The 19,053-nt window shown below is 40.4% G+C and overlaps 1 long non-coding RNA gene across 1 annotated transcript in view, besides 1 other annotated feature; it reads left to right on the plus strand.

Annotated features, from left to right (window-relative positions):
- LOC105379311 (uncharacterized) overlaps window positions 1–19,053 on the plus strand; it is a 45,659-nt gene that overhangs the window by 13,858 nt on the left and 12,748 nt on the right. The window lies entirely within an intron of this gene.
- Window positions 10,970–11,471: an enhancer, noted in NCBI's record as "H3K27ac hESC enhancer chr8:19961537-19962038 (GRCh37/hg19 assembly coordinates)". NCBI's record gives its function as "activates a minimal SCP1, AML or CMV promoter by ChIP-STARR-seq in naive H9 embryonic stem cells {active_cell/tissue: H9 hESC(naive)}" and the evidence as "EXISTENCE:reporter gene assay evidence [ECO:0000049][PMID:30033119]".

Raw genomic sequence — 19,053 nt, forward strand, 5'->3', positions numbered from 1 at the left:
CATATGATGTATTTTTCCTAACCAAATCTTCTAGTGATAACTCTGAGACCCTGAGGCTCTCTAAGGATGCTCCCACTCTAAATTAGTCTACAATGGCATCACTTCAGGGGAGAATCCTATTTGGAAAAGTCATATGAGTGGAAATTAACCACAAATGGAATCTCTTGGGGCAATGGATTCACACACATTTGCACATAAACAATTTAGTCTTTTTGGTAAATATTATATTTTGTCTCCAAGCCAAAGTTATGTTCTATTTGTCTTCTGGAACATGTCTTTTGGCTTTTAAAATGTCTTAAATAAAAACCACAGAAGTTCATCTCCATAGGGATTCTTACAGAAATTAGTTGTCCAGTTCCATTTTTGAAACTAGGTCATCCACAATTTTGAAATGACTCAACACAAATCGTAATAAAACAGAACCAAAAACGCATGTGTTCACATAACAAAGAAATTTATACTTTTAGGATATCATTTTATAAAATGTTAGTTATATTGATTTTTTAAATTTTCAAAGTCCTAAAATTTTATTTACTCATAATTATTTTAATAAATACAGAAGAAAAAAATTACCTACCTGCAAACATGTTCTGTGTAGGTAACAACTCCATAACTCAACTGGTGCTATCATTTTGGTATATTTCTATATAGAGTTATATTCTATAAATTTAGTCCATCTTTGAACTTTGCTTTGACTCCATCCCTAAAGGAGCTAATCCACAAATATAATCACCGCACTTCAGAGGGGCAGGCAGGCAGCAGGCAGCAGATGTTCATGGAGTACTCACCACTCTCTAGGCTACACAACACCTATGAAGAATACCTCGCATCCTAAGAAGGAAAGGCAGACAATGACGAACAGCCAACACTCATGGGTCTTCTTACTGGGTGCAAGACTCTAAGTACTTTCTGTATATCGACTCATTTAATTCTCATATGACTCTATGAGATGCATGCTGTTATTTCCCCCATTTTATAGATGTGAAAACTGAGGCTTAGCAAGTTTAAGGGATCCAATGTCACACAGTTAGACTTACTCCCAAGTCTACTCTTTTACTTACCGTGGGATGCACAGGAACAAACGCACAAGTTATTTTTAAGAAATGAAATGATATTCTAAAGAGTAACTGGAATTGATGCTTTAATGATGTTAGAGAAGGGTCCCTGAGAAGCTGCCATCTGAATAGAGAAGGCAGCCACCTGAAAACCTGGGGAGAGATATGTGGTTGAAGAGTGCAAAGGCCCCAAGATGGAAAGAGCTTGTTTGGGGAAGAAGAAGGGAGCCAGTGAGTCTGGGAAGAGTGAAGCAGGTGGCTTAACGTGAGTTGGGATGGGCAGGTGGGGGCAGGCTTCACAGGGCCTTGTAGGCCTTGCAAAGAATTTTGGATTTTATGCTGGTTATAATTGGAAGTCATTAAAAGGCTTAAACAGTGGAATGCTGTAATCCAACTTATGCATTATAAAGGTCACTCTGTAAAGGGTGGATTATTATAACGGTCAAGAGTGGAAGCAGAAAAATAAATGAAGGAGCTACTGGGTTAATTTATGTGACAAATGACCATGGCAGATTGAACTAAGTATACGGCAGCAGAAATGGGGAAAGTGGTCAAGCTCAGGATGTATTTTGAAATGGATTTACTGATACATTGGAATGTGTGTTAGCCAAGCCCCAGGACCTGGGCCTAAGCAGCTAGGTGGCTAGTAGTGAAGACAATTATTGAGAGGGGGTAGGGTTGATTGGGAGTGAACCACATTATTTAATTCTTGCTGTTTTGGGGCTTACTAAAAAAGACGTCCTATTTTATATAGTTTGAGAACTTGCTTCTTTTTTCCTCTGTAACATTATGTTATGAAGAGGAATTCATATTGTTGCACTTAGCTACATTTCATCACTTTTATTACTGCATAATATTCTATCATATCCACAAAATGTATTTATACATTCTCCTCTCATGGATGTGGAAAAGTGGAATGACAGCTCCTCTGGAGAAGTCATGCCCTTGTCCCTGGAGCCTGGGAATATGGGAGCTGGGAAAATCCAGCATGTAGGCCAGTGCATTTCAAAGAGAAGTTAACATTGCAGAGGGAATTAAAGTTGATAATCAGCTGACCTTGGAATGGGTTAATTATTCTGGATCATCCAAGTGGGCCCAATATAATTATAAGAGCCATCGTGGAAGAGGAAGGCAGAATCATCTGTGTCAGAGGGATGCAGGATGACCAAGACTGGACCAGCCATCGCTGGTTTTAAAGATGGAAGTGGCCCTGAGCTGAGGAACATGGGTGGCCTCTATAAGTCAGAAAAAGAGAGGAAACAGATTCCCTCCCATGGAGCCTTCACACGTGGCTCTGCCAACACCTTGATATTAGCTAAGTGAGATCCCCTTTGGACTTCTAGAACTGTAAGATAACACATTTGTGCCGTATCAAGTAGCCATATTTGTGGTCATTTGTTGTACCAACAATAGGAAACTAATACAAAGGGCATTTCGATGTTTCCATTTTTTAATGACTACAGGCAGTGCAGCTATAAACATTTTTGGCATATCTTCTGATTTATATGTGCAAGAGTTTCTCTTGGCTGTATACCTAGGAATGGAATGGCCGAGTCCTTGGGTACGTGAAAGTTCAGTTCTATAGGACAATGCCAAATTGTTCTCCAAAGTGGTTGAACCCATTTACCTCCTCACCAGCAATGTATAGGAGCTCTGATTGGGCTGGGAGCGGTGGCTCATGCCTGTAATCCCAGCACTTTGGGAGGCCGAGTTGGTGGGATCACAAGGTCAGGAGTTCAAGACCAGCCTGGCCAACATGGTGAAACCCCGTCTCTACTGAAAATACAAAAATTAGCTGGGCATGGTGGTGTGTGCCTGTAGTCCCAGCTACTCAGGAGGCTGAGGCAGGAGAATTGCTTGAACCAGGACCCAGGAGGCGGAGGTTGCAGTGAGCCGAGGTCGCACCACTGCACTCCAGCCTGAGCTACAAAGTGAGACTCCATCTCAAAAAAAAAAAAAAAAAGGTCTGGTTGATTAAAAGATCTTCTCCAGCACTTGGTAATGTCTGTTGTATCAATTTTTAATAATCACATAAGTGTAAAATTATATTTAACCCCAACCCTGACAGAGAATATATGGACTGCAAAGCTTAAAGTATTGATTGCTATTAAGGAGGGCATTTTTATATGTTTACTGAACAAAAATCTTCCTTTCCTGTGAAATGCAGGTTTATGATTTTTACATGTTTTCCTATTGTTTGTCATTTTCTTATGAATTAGTTGATCTTTTATATTTTTATATTCTTCTTTTTTTGAGACAGAGTCTGGCTCTGTCCCGCAGGCTGGAGTGCGGTGGTGCAATCTCACTTCACTGCAGCCTCTGCCTCCTGGATTCAAGCCATTCTCCTGCTTTAGCCTCCCAAGTGGCTGGGATTATAGGTACCCACCACCACCCACAGCTAAATTTTATATTTTTAGTAGAGACAGTGTTTCACCATGTTGGCCAGGCTGGTCTTGAACTCCTCATCTCAAGTAATCTGCCCGCCTCAGCCTCCCAAAGTGCTGAGATGACAGGCATGAGCCACTGCGCTGGCCGTATCTTTTATATTCCTGATATTAGCGAATCCTTTGACTACTGGATGTGTTAAAAAATGTCTTCTCCCAGTGTGTATCTTGTTTTTTCACTTTGTTGAAAGCAGAAGTCTGCAAACTACAACTAGCTGGTCAAATCTAATCCATGGCCTGTTTCTGTATGGCGTTTAGGTAAGGATAGTTTTTATGCTTTTAAACAGTTGTAAAAACAAAACCACTACAACAAAAAGAAGATAAGACAGAGACCACGTGGCCTGAGAAGCCTAAAACTGTTGCCATCAGATCCTTTTCCCGCTTTAAATCGTGTTGATGAACATACTTCTTAATTTGGTTAAACTTTCAGTTGTTAAGTGTCTTGTTCAAGAAATCCTTTGCTCTATGAAAGGAAAGATGTTGACCTATATTTTCTACTAAAACCTTTAAAGATTTCCTACTGGCATGTAAGTTCTTAAATCACTTTAAGTTTCATTTTGTGTATAACATAAGGTAGAGATGCAATTCTATGCTCGCTCACCACCACTGAATAATTATTTAATTTTAGCTGCATTTATTTGCCTCTGATATTTCATCCCCTCCTGTCATATATCAGCTTTCTGTATTGGCCCTATTGCATGACCTTCTGTCCCATCATTCAGTTTGTCTATCTCCTATCTCTGTCCCAGTATTACTTCTGGGACAGAAGTATTATTATGAAACTTTCTTACTTTAGTTTCATAATAAGTTCTGATACCTAGTAGGATAAGTCCCCCTCCTTATTCTTCTTATTCAGAAGCATCTCAAATATTGTTGGCCATGCCTCCCTGTTTTAACTTTCAAATCAGTTTGTCAAGGCCCATGAAAATCTCATTGGGAATTTTCACTGTAGTTGCATCCAACCTAGAGTCTGTAAGTCTATCTAAAGAGAATTAGCATCTTTATTGTATTAGGGTTCTCTAGAGGGACAGAACTAATAGGAGATTTTATATATATATATATATATATGTAAAGGGGAGTTTATTAAGTATTAACTCCCCCAATTACAAGGTCCCACAATAGGCTGTCTGCAAGCTGAGGAGCAAGGGGAGCCAGTCTGAGCCCCAAAACTGAAGAACTTGGAGCCCGATGTTCGACGGCAGGAAGCATCCAGCAAGGGAGATAGATTTAGGCTGGGAGCCTAGGCCTGTCTCTCCTTTTCACATTTTTCTGCCAGCTGATTAGATTGTGTCCACCAGATTAAGGGTGGATCTGCCTTCCCCAGCCCACTGACTCAAATGTTCATCTCTTTTGGCAACACCCTCACAGACACACCCGGGATCAATACTTTGTATCCTTCCATCCGATCAAGTTGACACTGCGTATTAACCATCACATTTATGATATTAAATACTCCTATCTCTGAAGACTGAAAAATCTCTCTATAACATAGATCTTCTTTAGTGATTTATTTTGGTCTTTAATATTCCCCCAGCCTTGGGTCTTCTCAAGCTGGCCCTGAAAATGGCTTTCAGGGTGGAAATCCTTTTTGCAGTTTATTCAGTTTTCTCTCCTTCCCACTCATCACAAGGGTTTAAAGCCTTTCCAGGTGGCTCAGACATCTTGCTCTTTTCAGTATCATTCTAAACAACAAATATTTGATAGGTACCTGTTTTTATAATACACTGTTATGGGTAATACCCAAAGACCCAGTGCACAGTCCCTTCTTTTAAGGAGTTTTCAGTCTAATTGCAGAAAAAAGACCTGTGAAAAAATCACTAACAATTCAAGATACTAGGTACTAAAATTTTTTTAAAAAAATCAGCTGTAAAGAAATGGCACATCAATTTCAAATCATTCTGATTTTGTGCCACAAAATGAAACTTTTTGCTCTTTATAAGGCCTTTGGTGTAAATAAACTCATTCCAAAGCAAATAAAAAAAATTCAGTTTTAGCTTAGGGGCAACAAGGTCATCTCAAAATTTCAAATATAATTCCTCAGGCTCAGCCTGGGATCACTATAGTTATAGCAACCTACCAGGACTGGTATTTCTAGTGATGCCCCTTAATCATTATGAAAAAGTCAGACTCTGCTCAGTATAGTCTGTACACAAGGCTGCCAAAATGTATTTTATATTGATTTCTATCCTCAAACAACAAGAATGAGTTCAGATGTTGGTGCTCAAAGGCATAGACTCTCAACTATTAAAATACAAAATAGCCCTGAGAAATAACTAATTCCCCAATGGTTTTGAATATCTAAAATTCAACTACACTTTGAAGTTGGGGCAAAAAGCCACAAAAGATACCTTGGGGGGAAATGGAAGGGTGTTTCCTCCAGTCTAGGTAACCCTGAAAAAGCTTAGCTTGTAGCCTCTTTCCTATGTCTGGTGGACACGTGTGGGTTCAAGGCACTGCTTCCTCTTTTCTCCCTAAATTATTTTTGGCCAGGCGTGGTGGCTTATGCCTGTGATCCCAGCACTTTGGGAGGCCAGGGCGGGCAGATCACGAGGTCAGGAGATCAAGACCATCCTGGCTAATACAGTGAAACCCTGTCTCTACTAAAAACACAAAAAATTAGCTGGGCATGGTGGCACGCGCCTGTAGTCCCAGGTACTTGGGAGGCTGAGGCAGGAGAATCGTTTGAACCTGGGAGGTGGAGATTGCGGTGAGCCGAGATTGTGCCACTGCACCCCTGCCTGGGTGACAAAGCGAGACTAAGTCTCAAAAAAAAAAAAAAAAAAAAAAAAACCAAAAAGAAAGAAAGAAAAAAAAAAGAAAATCATTTTTCACTTTTTTCTTTTAAGACAAGTGACAGCATGACTCATGCAACTACTTCCTCCTCCCACATTGTCTTAGAAAAGGGTTTCTAGTGGAGAAAAAATAATGATTTAGTGGCAAATCAGAATTTGCTTGCCGACTTGCAAGACTCCCCCTTCTCCTTTTTATTCCATGTTTTTCTTCTAAAACAGGAAGAGTTGGGCAGAATCTATGTAAGCTTCTAGGTTCTGGTTTATGTCCACCCTCAGTAACCTTCATTTCTTGGTACTTAAAGAACGGAGTTTCATCCAGTGGTATATTTATCAATGGCAGCCTTAATTAAGATGTGGATATCCTAGCATTCATAAAATATTTTTGTTTTCTAATTGCTGAAAGTGAATAATTATTGGAAGACTACAAAAGAAAGAAATACATATTTAAAAAAAGAAATGTTACAAGTTCAGAGATGTTACTCTATGACTAAGGGGAAGACACTTAAACTCAGTGAGCCTCAGTCTCCTTATCTGTTAAACAGGAATAAAGAGTATATATTTTACTTACCTCAGTGGCTTGTTTTGAGAGTGAAGTGAGATAAAGCAATGTTTTGTAAGGTGGGTTAATTATAAGATTTCCTTGAGTTGCCTGTTTAAAAAAATGTAAATTTTCTAGATTTCTATGCTCTCCAGAGAATTGGGTAATTCTTCTCACAGGTGAGTTTGGGAAACGTGAAATAACAGAAGGAGATCACAGAAATACAAGATGCTTACTTTTCTGATAGTATCTTACAAGTATACACAAATTTTCTTGTAAAATTATTTTTCATATTTGTCCTTTGTCAGTCTTTCCAGGGTAGAGACTGTTTTGCTGCTATCATTGTTTTTTCAGACCTTGGTTCTGATCTCAATTCTCCTACTAAGTAGTTGGTAATTGCGTGACTCAGTTCTCAGGGCCCACTTATTTGCAGGGTAACTGGAAGCCTTCCATTTTTTTCAACTTTTTTTTTTTTTTTTTTTTTTGAGATGAGGTCTCACTGTGTTCCCAGGCTGGTCTTGAAGTCCTGGGTTCAAGCAATCCTCCCACCTCAGCCTCGCGAGCAGCTGAGATTACAGGTGCAAACCAACTCACCTGGTTGGCTTCCCTTTCTGATATTCTCTTTCTTCCCTTGACAATTTTCCTTTCAATTTTCCATCTGTAAATGCCTAATATGGTGAAGTATTTGATCATTTCAGAATTTAACACATCTATATTTAATAAGAAGTCATAGTCCATGCCCATATCATTTGAAAATTTATGATTTTTACAACTCTACAGCAGTATCATAGGGAAAGCAAAGGAGTTAAAAAACAGTCAACAATGTAATTGGCTGATAGAGCTATGTGGATAATAACATGTGAGCTCACAAAATGTCACTTGACAATTAACAATGAGAGATATGAGTGACATGTGCTGTGAAGGCAGATAATAAGAAGGCTTTCTTATTAATATTAATGATAAAAGTTTTATTATTTTTAAATTTAAAAGAGCAAAACATATATTTTAAAACCTAATGGTATTTATATATTAAATGTAATATATAACATTACATATACTATAATATGTAATGTTACATATTATATAATATATAACGTTACATATTATATAATATATAATATATATTAGCTAATATTACATGTATACGTATTATATATATTTTCAGAAGCCAATTTAGTGAATTCTGCATGTCATTTTCCAGAACTATCTTATCCACAGACGTGCACACAGAGACAAACACAGCCACACACACACACCCATTGCACCAACATGGTTTTACAACTTACTTTTTCTCTCCTAATACACCTAGGAACTCAATCCAATCCATTTCGACCCATACAAATCGGCAGCATCGCATTTCATGTCCAAAGAGTGTTCAATCAATTGCACAATCATTTACTTTACCATTTCTCATATTTATGGACATTTGAAGGCTTTCGGGTTTTTGCTATTAACTAATTACTAAACAATACTCCAGTGAATATCTTTGCACATCCCTCTTTGCACATTTCATGCGGGTGTACCTGTAGGATATATTCCTGGGCAAGGAATAACTGGATATGTGCATTTATAATTTTGAAAGTTATTGGCAAACTGTTCTGTCTTTAATTTGTAGCAATGTAAGGGTATACTACTTCTGTACATTTATAAAAGCTTTATTAATAACCTTTTGACCTTTGACATTTTGATAGATAAAAACAGAGACTTATTTTTATTTGTTTCTTATAACAAGGCTAACTTTGAAAACCTCAGATATTTACTTTCTTATTTTCTGGAGTTCTTGACTTTTTTTTCCCATTTAATTGGATCCTATTTGATTTTCTATTGCTTTTTTCTATTTGATTTGATTCTCATTCATAAACTCTTTATAAAAATTAACCCTTTGTTGGATCACATGTCTTATAATACCGTTGTTAATTATTTTTGTCTTTAGCTTTGTTATAGTGTTGATAGGGTTTGGCTGTGTCCCCACCCAAATCTCATCTTGAATTGCAGCTCCCATAATTCCCACGTGTTGTGGGAGGGACCCAGTGGGAGTTAATTGAATCATGGGGGCGGTTTCACCCATACTTTTCTTGTGGTAGTGAATAAGTCTCACGAGATCTGATGGTTTTATAAGGGGAAACCTCTTTCACTTGATTCTCATTTTCTCTCTTGCCCCTGCCATGTAAGAAGTGCCTTTCACCTTCCATCATGATTGTGAGGCCTTCCCAGCTACATGGAACTGTGAGTACATTAAACCTCTTTTCCTTCATAAATTACCCATTCTCGGGTATGTCTTTATCAGCAGCATGAAAATGGACTAATACAGGTGGTTTTTGTGAAGCACACATTTTTATTCAATAAAATTACTAATATTTTTCTCTCATGACTCTTGGGTTTTGCCTCTTATTTTAAAACTCCTAACAAAATGATACAATTTACTATTACATACCTGTTGGAGTTTTTATGTTAATACTTATGAACTACTTGGGAAATACTTTAATGTAAGAAGGTAGGGATTTATGTTTTCCAAAGGGCTACCTTGTTGTTCCCCAACCATTTACTGAATAATCCATCATTTATCCAGTGACTTGAAATGCCTTATTTATTATATATTATATATAAGACTCACACATGCATTAGGTCATATTTATAGAATATTTATTTTGTTTTGTTTATGCATCTGTAATTAAGCATCATACCATAATTTAAAAATAACTATATCTTTATAGTATATTTGAATAACTGGTAGGATTTGTACCTTAATACTCTTCAAAATATTTTCAGTTATTCTTACGTGTTTACTTTCTATAAAAAAAGTTTAGAAGAAACTAGTCTAGCTATTAAAAACCCTTCTTTTGACATTTTTACTGGGATGATACTAAATTATAGATTATTTTAAAGAGATCTGATCTTTTTACAATATCAAGTTTTTCTTTGCAAATTATATCTTTCAATTTATTCAAATCTTCCTTGGGTAGCTGGAGAGGAGAGAAAAGAATATGTAAAGAAAGTAGGATGAGAAGATGAAAGAGCTGTGAAAGAAATTCCCTGGGAACTCTGGACAGATCTATTTTTTGGAGTCAAAGAAAGAGTAGACAACAGCGGGGATGAGGCTTCTGGGAAGAGTCAGGTTATTGAAGACTTTTGAATGCCAGGCTAAAGAACATGGATCTCATTCAAGCAGGTGAAAGGCTTGCTTTAGGAAGTTTCTTAAGAGCTGCAGTTTGATTCTCAACTAGGAGCAATTTCGTCCCTGAAGGTATATCAACTTCTGGAGACATTTTGGTCAGCAGAGGGGGAGGTGTTCCTGGTATTTGGTGGACATTGGCCAGGGGTGCTGCTCAACACCCTACAAGGCACAGGGCAGCGCCCACAACAAAGAATTATCCAGTCCCAAATATCCATAGCATGGAGGTGCATAGTCCCTCTACTGGAGAGACTGAAGGGCAAAGAGACTACCATCAAGGAAACAATTTAAGCGGCCATGCAGGCCCTGTGGGCTCTGAACATGCCCCCACGTCGGTCATTCCAGTTAGCATCTCCCCTCCCAGCATCTGTGGTGCAAAAGCAGAAAAGAGCCAGTGAAGCCCGGGAGGTCCTGAGTTGGCTCCCAAACTCACTTCCTCCAGAGGAATTCTTCCTTAGCGGTTTATACACTTCCTGTTTATTCACATGCAAACAAACACATAGGAAAACCTCAGTCCCTCCATTCAGAACATGTTCTGAGGAATTCAGCCTGCAAAGCTTTCTTCAAAAATGAAAGCTTCTTTGTGTAAATGCTCAGAATTCATAAGCAACTAAATGAGGGACAGCGGGAACGAGGGAGGGTGGGAACAGGAGAGAAACCACATGGGGCTGACTTTAGAGTAGCCATAATTCAAGAGAACATGGGCGGCTTTTCTGCTCTTGAGAGAAATAAACAGCATTTCTTCCCAAGGAGTCACATCCCTGAAAGCATTCTATCTCCCCACTCCTCAAAGTGATCATGGCTCCTGGGCCTCTAACGCAACACTCGGCTTCATGTATGCAAATGGTAGGCACTCAATAAACAAAGTGAGTGACTACATAGTAAAGGAAAAATAAATGCATCACTATTTTGTTATAGAGAAAGTAACTTAACAATGAGTTGATTACAACTAACATTTACTTTTGCACTTAATATGGGCAAACCCACTGAGCATATTCTCTCATTGACGCCTCCCAAGAGTGAGAAATGAGTCAATAAATGTTGTTTTGATTAACTCATATTGTTAAATTACTTTAAAATTGTCAGTGAAATAGGTGTCATTATACATATTGAAGCTGTGACTCCTGTTATTCATGACAATTTCCACCCTCTGTCTTATTTGATCCCGGCCTTGAAAGATAAGTATATAAGATCCCATTTTGTAGCCATGAGAGTTGAGGCTCAGAGAATGAGACCTGTCTGAGGCCATATGTCCCCATGCTGGGCCTAGAGCCCAATGTTCCCTGTAAAATGCCATGATCTGTGTCAGTTATCAATTTATTGCCTCTCTGCTCCAAATTCACCCTTCATTGTTCTGGGTCAACGGAGCTGGCCCTGTATTTCCCCTTTGCTAGCTGGCACAATGTGGACCCTTGTTAGCAGAAGATGTTGGAAGAACACTGCCACCAGAAGGGGTTTCTCTCCTCCAGGTTCCAGAGCACTCTCCCCTCTGGACTCTTGCCATACACAGTCTATTCAGTATCTGAGCCCAGCAGTCAGTGACCACATCTGCACCCAGCTCCTGCAGGACCTCAGCACCTCCTCAGGAATCTTTGCAGTGAGTCCTGAGACCTATCACCTACCTGTGGACAGTTCTCCCTGGCACCTCAGAAGGAAGATTAACAGCAAGTTCTGCCACCATGGCACCTCTGCAACTTGGTGGCTGAGCACTGAGCCATGGCTGGGCTCTCAAAGAGGTCTGGGTCTCAGCCTTAGGGATAGCAACTGCTCTCTATAGCTGCAAATCCTACATTATTTGGGATTTTCTCCCCTCCTTACTGACCAATTCCCCACTACTTCAATACCTTTTTCCAATGAATAATTCTTTATAGTGAACTCTCCACATTCAAATATCTGTATGGTTTTTATCTCCTGGCTGGTCCCTGACTGATACATGTTGCTTCCTTTCTGAGCATCTTATTGCAGGGATTGAGGCCTGAAAATTACCTGGCATCCCACAAACACGAACAAGAGATTCAAGAAGCTGGGACCTGAGGAAAAATTGCTTTTATCTTATCTTCTTGGTTTCTCATCTGGGTTTCATGGGATGCAGGAGGAAGGGATCAACCACAAAGCACTTTTTGGAAGTGGCACCTATGAAATACACACGTCTTGTTTAATGATCTAAAAACATTTCAGTCGTTTTAAATTTTCATACTTATGTTTCAACTATAACCCTAGGTACAGTAGCCAGCATCCACTTCTCCATCCCATTGGATTGATTGATTTTAATCAGTCTTAAAAGCTCAGTGTAATTCCTCCCCCAGGAATGAGTACACTCAATTATCAGCTCTCATGACAGTAAGGCCACCTCCCATGCACACAGCAGTTCATGTGTGTTAAGTCATTCAACCATCAAAGCTCTGGGACATCCAGAGCAAGTTTTACTGTCCTCCCCTTTAGGCAAGCAAACCTGACCCTGGGAGAGTTAAATGAGTCTCACAAAGGCAAGTGATAAACAGCCAAAGTGTGTGCTAAGACTAAAATCCAAGTCCTCTAAATTCATTATTCTTTTAGCCATGGCCTCCTCCCCCACATCTCTCTGTTTCCTGGACAAAGGCTTTATCTTCTGCTAAAGAATTTCAAAGATCAGCAAACAGGAGTGTGTGGGAGGTTATTTTGGGGGCGACGGTGGGCAGTGTTCAGGGCTCTTCTGGCACCCTCATCTCTGCTGAGTAGGCGCCATCTGATGCACTGAACTGGCTTCAAGCCAGCCCCAGACAAAAAGGCAGGAACCGAAGGTAGGCGAGGGCTGATGTGGGGAGGGAGGGACAGTGGAAACGGTGTTGCACAATTAGACGGGGACTCATGAGGCTGGCATTTCCCTAGTGGGGAGCCAAGGCTGCACAGAGGGAGAAGGGGGTGGGGTGGGGTGAACAGTGGCTCTGTCCATACTGTTTGGACACTAGCAAGGCTGTATGAGAAAAGTCACAATTCATTAAGATTTGGGTGGGGACACAGTCAAACCAAATCTGGGTCAAGCCGAGTCTGTACATGAGGGAAAGTAAGTACAGATGTGAACATTTCCAAGTGGAATATGTGTGTAACCAGAGCACCCCTAGGCCTCAAGAGCTTATTACAACCAGGATGGCAACCATGGAGATGACAAAACAGTGGCTAGAATTTATTAGGCACGTACTGTGGGCCAAGGACTGCTCTAAGCATTTTATATTCACCATTCTACTTAACCTCAAAATAGCCACATAAAGGAGATGTGAATGAAAAATGCTATATTTAACTTAGTACCCAAAAATAATAGATACTAGCTTCTCCCTTTGGTAACTCTTCATTTTCCCATACCTCACTGAAGACCTTCTCACCTTCTTCCACCCAACTCCCAGTTATTTCTGGAACCCTGGAAATCTCATGAGTATGTATGTGTGAGGTTTTTAAATTTTTTTTAACTTTTTCAAGCTTTTCATTTTGAAATAATTTCAGACTTCCATAAAAATTGCAAAAATGTCACAAAGAATTCTAATGTACTTTCACCAACTCCCCAAATGTTAACATTTTATATAACCACAGTACAATGGTCACAATGAAGTTAACACAGGTGTAAATAACAGTTATAGAATCTACTAATGTCACTTTTTTCTTGTCCAGGATCCAATCCAGAATCACATATTGTGCTTTGTTGTCATTTCTCCTTGGTTTTCTTTAATCTGACACATTTCCTCAATCTTTTTGGCTTTCATGATCCTGATACTTTTCAAGAAGACTGATCAGTTATGTTGCCCAACGTTCCTCAGTTTGGCATTGTCTGGTGTTTCCTCATGATTTGTGTTCGCACTTTCTATTTGGGGTAAGAATAGCACAGATGAGCTGTTTTGTCCTCGTCAGGGCATCATACAAGGAGACACATGGTATTTATTTGTCCCTTTACAGGTGACGGTGACTTGGACCCCTTATTAAGGTTGTGTCTGCCAAGTTTCTCCATAGTAAATATTTTCCCTTTGGTACTTAATAACTAGATCCTTTAAGAACATGCAAAGACCACGTTATCATCATATCTTTGTCAATTAAGTTTGGCTTACGTTGATGATTCTCACCTGCAACAATAATTGCTGTTGTGTTTCCCTAAAGGTGATATTCTATTTTATTAGCCCTTTTGTATTTACTCATTGAAATTCTACCCAAAGAAAAAGCTTTTTCTTTTCCTTCATTTATTTTATTTTATATTTTGAGACCGAGTCTCTCTGTCACCCAGGCTGGAGTGCAGTGGTGCGATCTCGGCTCACTACAACTGACCTCCACCTCCTGGGTTCAAGTGATTCTCCTACCTCAGCCTCCTGTGTAGCTGAGATTACAGGCATGTGCCACCAAGCCTGGCTAATTTTTATATTTTTAGTAGAGATGTGGTTTCATCATGTTGGCCCAGCTGGTCTTGAACTCCTGACCTCAGGTGATCTGCCTGCCTCAGCCTCCCAAATTGCTGGGATTATAGATGTGAGCCACAGCACCTGACCTCCCTTCATTTATTTAATTATTTATTTATTTGTATTGACATAGACTCAAGAATTCTTATTTTATTCCATGGGTTCCAATCATCTCAGATGTGGCCATGGAATCAAAAACCCTTTTAAACTCATGCCTGTAATCCCAGCTCTTTGGGAGGCTGAGGCAGGTAGATCACTTGAGGCCAGAAGTTCGAGACTAGTTTGGCAAACATGGTGAAACCCCATCTCTACAAAAAAAAAAAAAAAAAAAAAAAAAGCCAGGTGTGGTAGCATGCACCCATAGTCCCAGCTACTCAGGAGGCTGAGGCAGGAGAATCCCCTGAACCCAGGAGGCTGGGGTTACAGTGAGGAGAGATCACACCACTGCACTCCATCCTGAGTGACAGAGTGAGACTCTGTCTCAAATAAATAAATAAATTAGCTCCAGTAAGACTCGTGTTCTCTGTCACCCAGGCTGGAGTGCAGTGGTGTGATCATAGCTTACTGCAGCCTCAAAGTCCTGGCCTCAAGCAATCTTTCCAACTCAGCTTCTTTAGTAGCTGGGCACACAGCACCACCCATGGCTACTATTCTCTTGAGGGCATCTCCTCCTGGAGGTCTGTGTCCAACAGCCATGTTTGCAAGAGGCCCTCGCCACCGCTCCTGCCTTTGCCACTGCCTGAAAATGGCCTCTCTAACCCTGCATCCTACGGGGTGCCCTTGCTGATTCTGTTTTCCTGGTTTTCTGAAGGCCTGGGGTCCAGGGCAGGAAGAGGGACATTGCCCCATTCTGTGTGGGCCTTTGTCTCACCTGGGCCTCAAGTGGCCTTGCCCACAGCCCGCAAGTGCTTGTGTTTTCAAGTGACTTTTATTCACTTCTACGTTCTTTACCTTGTATTTTAGGAGTCCTAAGAGAATTTTAGGAGTCCTAACAGAAAGTAACATGGTGAGTTTTAGGGGCTTGGGAAGTGCTGGCAGCCACAGAAAGGAATCCAGAAGACGGTCATAGAAAGTTGAACAACTATATGGTCAGGGGAGTCTCTAAAATCAAATGGGCCAGTAACCCCCCGCTATTGGAGAAACAATTATTTAATCCATTTCTTCTACTAGAATAACAGTAAGCATCCTTCATTCACTGGCAGATAGTCCATTACTTCCACAGATAGCTTTTATAACCATGGTCTGTCTTGATCTTGATGTAGTTTTATAAAAAGAAGCAAAATTAAGGCTTAAAAGAACCCAGCTATTTTATGAATGAGAAAACAAAGGCCTTTAGGAGATCCTACAGGCTCAAGTGAGTATCTGTACCTGAAACTCAGGTGTTCTGATTCCCATTTCAGGTCTCTGTTGATCACACTAACTGTCGCGTCACCACCCTTCTCTTGGCTGGTTTCCTCTACAAAGCTGGACTGGACCAGAATTTTGTTATCCCAAGAGGCATAGAGGTGACGTGAGGTGTGAAAACGAAGCAGAACTTTCATCCGTTGCTTTGATCTGTTTTTTATTTTTATTAAATTTGTCATCAATGGCAATTTTTTTTAAATTTTCAACTAATTTAGAAGCAGATTATAAGATCATTATATCCCCTTATCTAAGGGGATATGGAGAGAAAATACTGAGAAACACAGGAGTGGGTGGCCCTAAGTTCTTATTCAGCCTATTGGTCACTGATTCCAATTCCATTAACTTAGTGACACCACCAGGAAGTTAATTTGCATATGTTGACCCACATTCTCAACAACTCTCACAAATGTTTGTTAGGTTTTATTTTCTAAAATTGTATTTACCTACATATGTATGTATTTATGCTAACATACCTCAAAATGGGGAGTTAAATGTTTTAAGACAAAACCTGGTCCAGACATAGCTGCATGACTTGAATGTTTTGAGTTTCTTCCATTTGCAAATTCTAAAAGAAAACAGATACAATCCCCGGAAAAATGTCACTATGACAACTCTAGAGTATCTATGATTTGTTTTTGGTAGAAGTTTATTCTAGAGAATGGATTGCTAGAACATGTTTCCAGTCTGGAGATTTAAGCAGAGCTCCCTATACAGAAACGAATCCTGTGATCTCAGCAAGGGAAATGAGATGAAGGGCCACACATTCTCCCCACCAGCCCTTCCTGCTCCAAAGTCTCAGGGCCCGGGGGAAAAGTGACTGAGCTTTCATGTAGGTAAATGATTTAGAAACAGTTCGAGGTTCTTTTGCATGTTTGGAGTAGAGAGGGGGAGTTGCAGCATAACTTTTGCTAAAAAATAGAGTGGTAAAGTAATGAATGAATTTGGCTGCAACCAAGCTTAGAGCTTGTCTCATTTCCTCATCTCCTGCTTGCATTGGAAGTAGCATAAAATCAAGTGTCTTTTGGCTTTAATCATAAATGGTGATTGTCAACTGAATAAAAATCAGGTAAAAATTTATTATAAATGGCTGTTATAACCACCTTTTTTTTTTTTTTTTTTTGAGATGGAGTTTCGCTCTTGTTGCCCAGGCTGGAGTGTAATGGCGCGGTCTCGGCTCACTGCAACCTCCGCCTCCCGGTTCAAGTGATTCTTCTGCCTCAGCCTCCCAAGCAGCTGGTATTATAGGTGCATGCCACCACGCCCAGCTAATTTTTGTATTTTTAGTAGAGACAGGGTTTCACCATGTTGGTCAGCCTGGTCTCGAACTCCTGACCTCGTGATCCACCCATCTCAGCCTCCCAAAGTGCTGGGATTACAGGTGTGAGCCACCACGCCCAGCCCATAACCACCATTTCTACAGGTTATTTACTCAGACAAGGAAATAGGTTCTTTTTACAGGGCCTTCTTTCTGGTGTTCAGAAAGTTCTGTGGACGGGAGTCAGAAGATGGGGATTTGCATTCTGACTCTGCTACTCACTAGGTATGTGGCCCGAGCAGGATGCTGAGCCTCCTGGAATATCTGTGTCTTCATCTACAAAGTGGAGTGAATGATACCTGCCAGTTCATACTGGATCAAATGAGGGGGTTTCTATATGTTGTAAGGCGCCACATAAATTTAAGATGTTATTAGTATTATTTTCCATTGGAGGCTTCCACCTACATATTCTGTACAAAATTTCCATCTCTCTCAAGGCCAAAGGAAGACCCTCCCTCTGGTTTAAAGTTTGTCTTTGACACTTGAGAAGACAGGAGTTTCCAGAATGTGCTATGGTTCTTCTTCCCAAGACTGAATGTGGCTCAAGACCCCTCCGTAGAGATTGCCAGAAACAGAACTCTCATTCTTTGTCTGAACACAACTTGATGCATAACAGAACAGGTTATTACGATGCTATTTCTCTAATAGACCCAGCTGTGGGCTGTACCCAAGATTTGGGCTGCAGGTGTCTTGTCAGCTAGCTTTCTGTCTTGGGGCTTTGCAGAAGAAGGCTGACTTGACCATGGACCACATTCCAGGGTCAAAAGCCACCATACCTTTTTTTTTTTTTTTTTTTTTTTGGAGACAGAGTCTTGCTCTGTCGCCCAGACTGGAGTGCAGTGGCACGATCTCGGCTCACCACAAGTTCTGCCTCCCAGGTTCATGCCATTCTCCTGCCTCAGCCTCCTGAGTAGCTGGGACTACAGATGCCTGCCACCACACCCAGCAATTTTTTTTTTTTTTGTATTTTTTAGTAGAGATGGGGTTTCACCGTGTTAGCCAGGATGGTCTTGATCTCCTGACCTCGTGATCCACCTGCCTCCGCCTCCCAAAGTGCTGGGATTACAGGAGTGAGCCACCGTGCCCGACCAAAAGCCACCATATCTTTTCCTTATCCAGGACTCTGAAGAAACAGACTCTGATGGGAAAAACTAAAGCAGACACTGCTTACCAATGACTTGGGATTTGTCTTCATTTGGGCTTATGACCTATGTGGGGAGTTTGGCTGATACGGTTTTATGAGGCCCTCTTTCACCTACAAGGATGTGTCTCTAGATTTCTTTGCCAAATGTAATCAAGTTCCTTTACCGGGCTCTCGGAGGAGAAATAGTCATATATTTTAGGAACATTTGGCCCAGCAATGTGAATTGTGAAATGATTTTCAGAGAACTATCCAGAGATATCCTGTTTGGATAGAAAGCAAGCATTGTTTTGATTTTTTAGTGGAAAAGTGAATCTTACAAAATCAGTTCAATTCCCTATGCTTCCTCTAGTTCACTTTCCCTGTGTGTGGGGTAGAAGGCATAGCAGTACTAGGTGTGTCCATGCTTCCTGATGGTCAAGAGAACATAGATTTTCCCCAGCGAATGCTTTTGCAAGTGATCTTATCACAATCTCTCATTCAATCTTAGCTCATCATAATTTATGTCTCTAACACCTTCTGGTATGTGCTCATGGTCTCTCTGGGCTTGAGGCTTCTTCTTGGAACTCTTTCTGCTATTCTATGATTTCCTTAGGCCAGAAAGGACAAGTATTTTGAAAGAGGCCCTCGGACTTCTGCACATGCCCCCAAATTATGCAACATCTTCAACAGAGAGAAAATGAAGCCAGGAACGACCAGCTACTTAAGGCAAAAGCAGTGGCAGGCAGGATCCAAGACCCTGACCTGGGCTCTGGCTTGCTTAGGTTTGGTACACTG

This window comes from Homo sapiens, chromosome 8 (genome assembly GCF_000001405.40).
Source record: "Homo sapiens chromosome 8, GRCh38.p14 Primary Assembly".
NCBI lineage: Eukaryota > Metazoa > Chordata > Mammalia > Primates > Hominidae > Homo > Homo sapiens.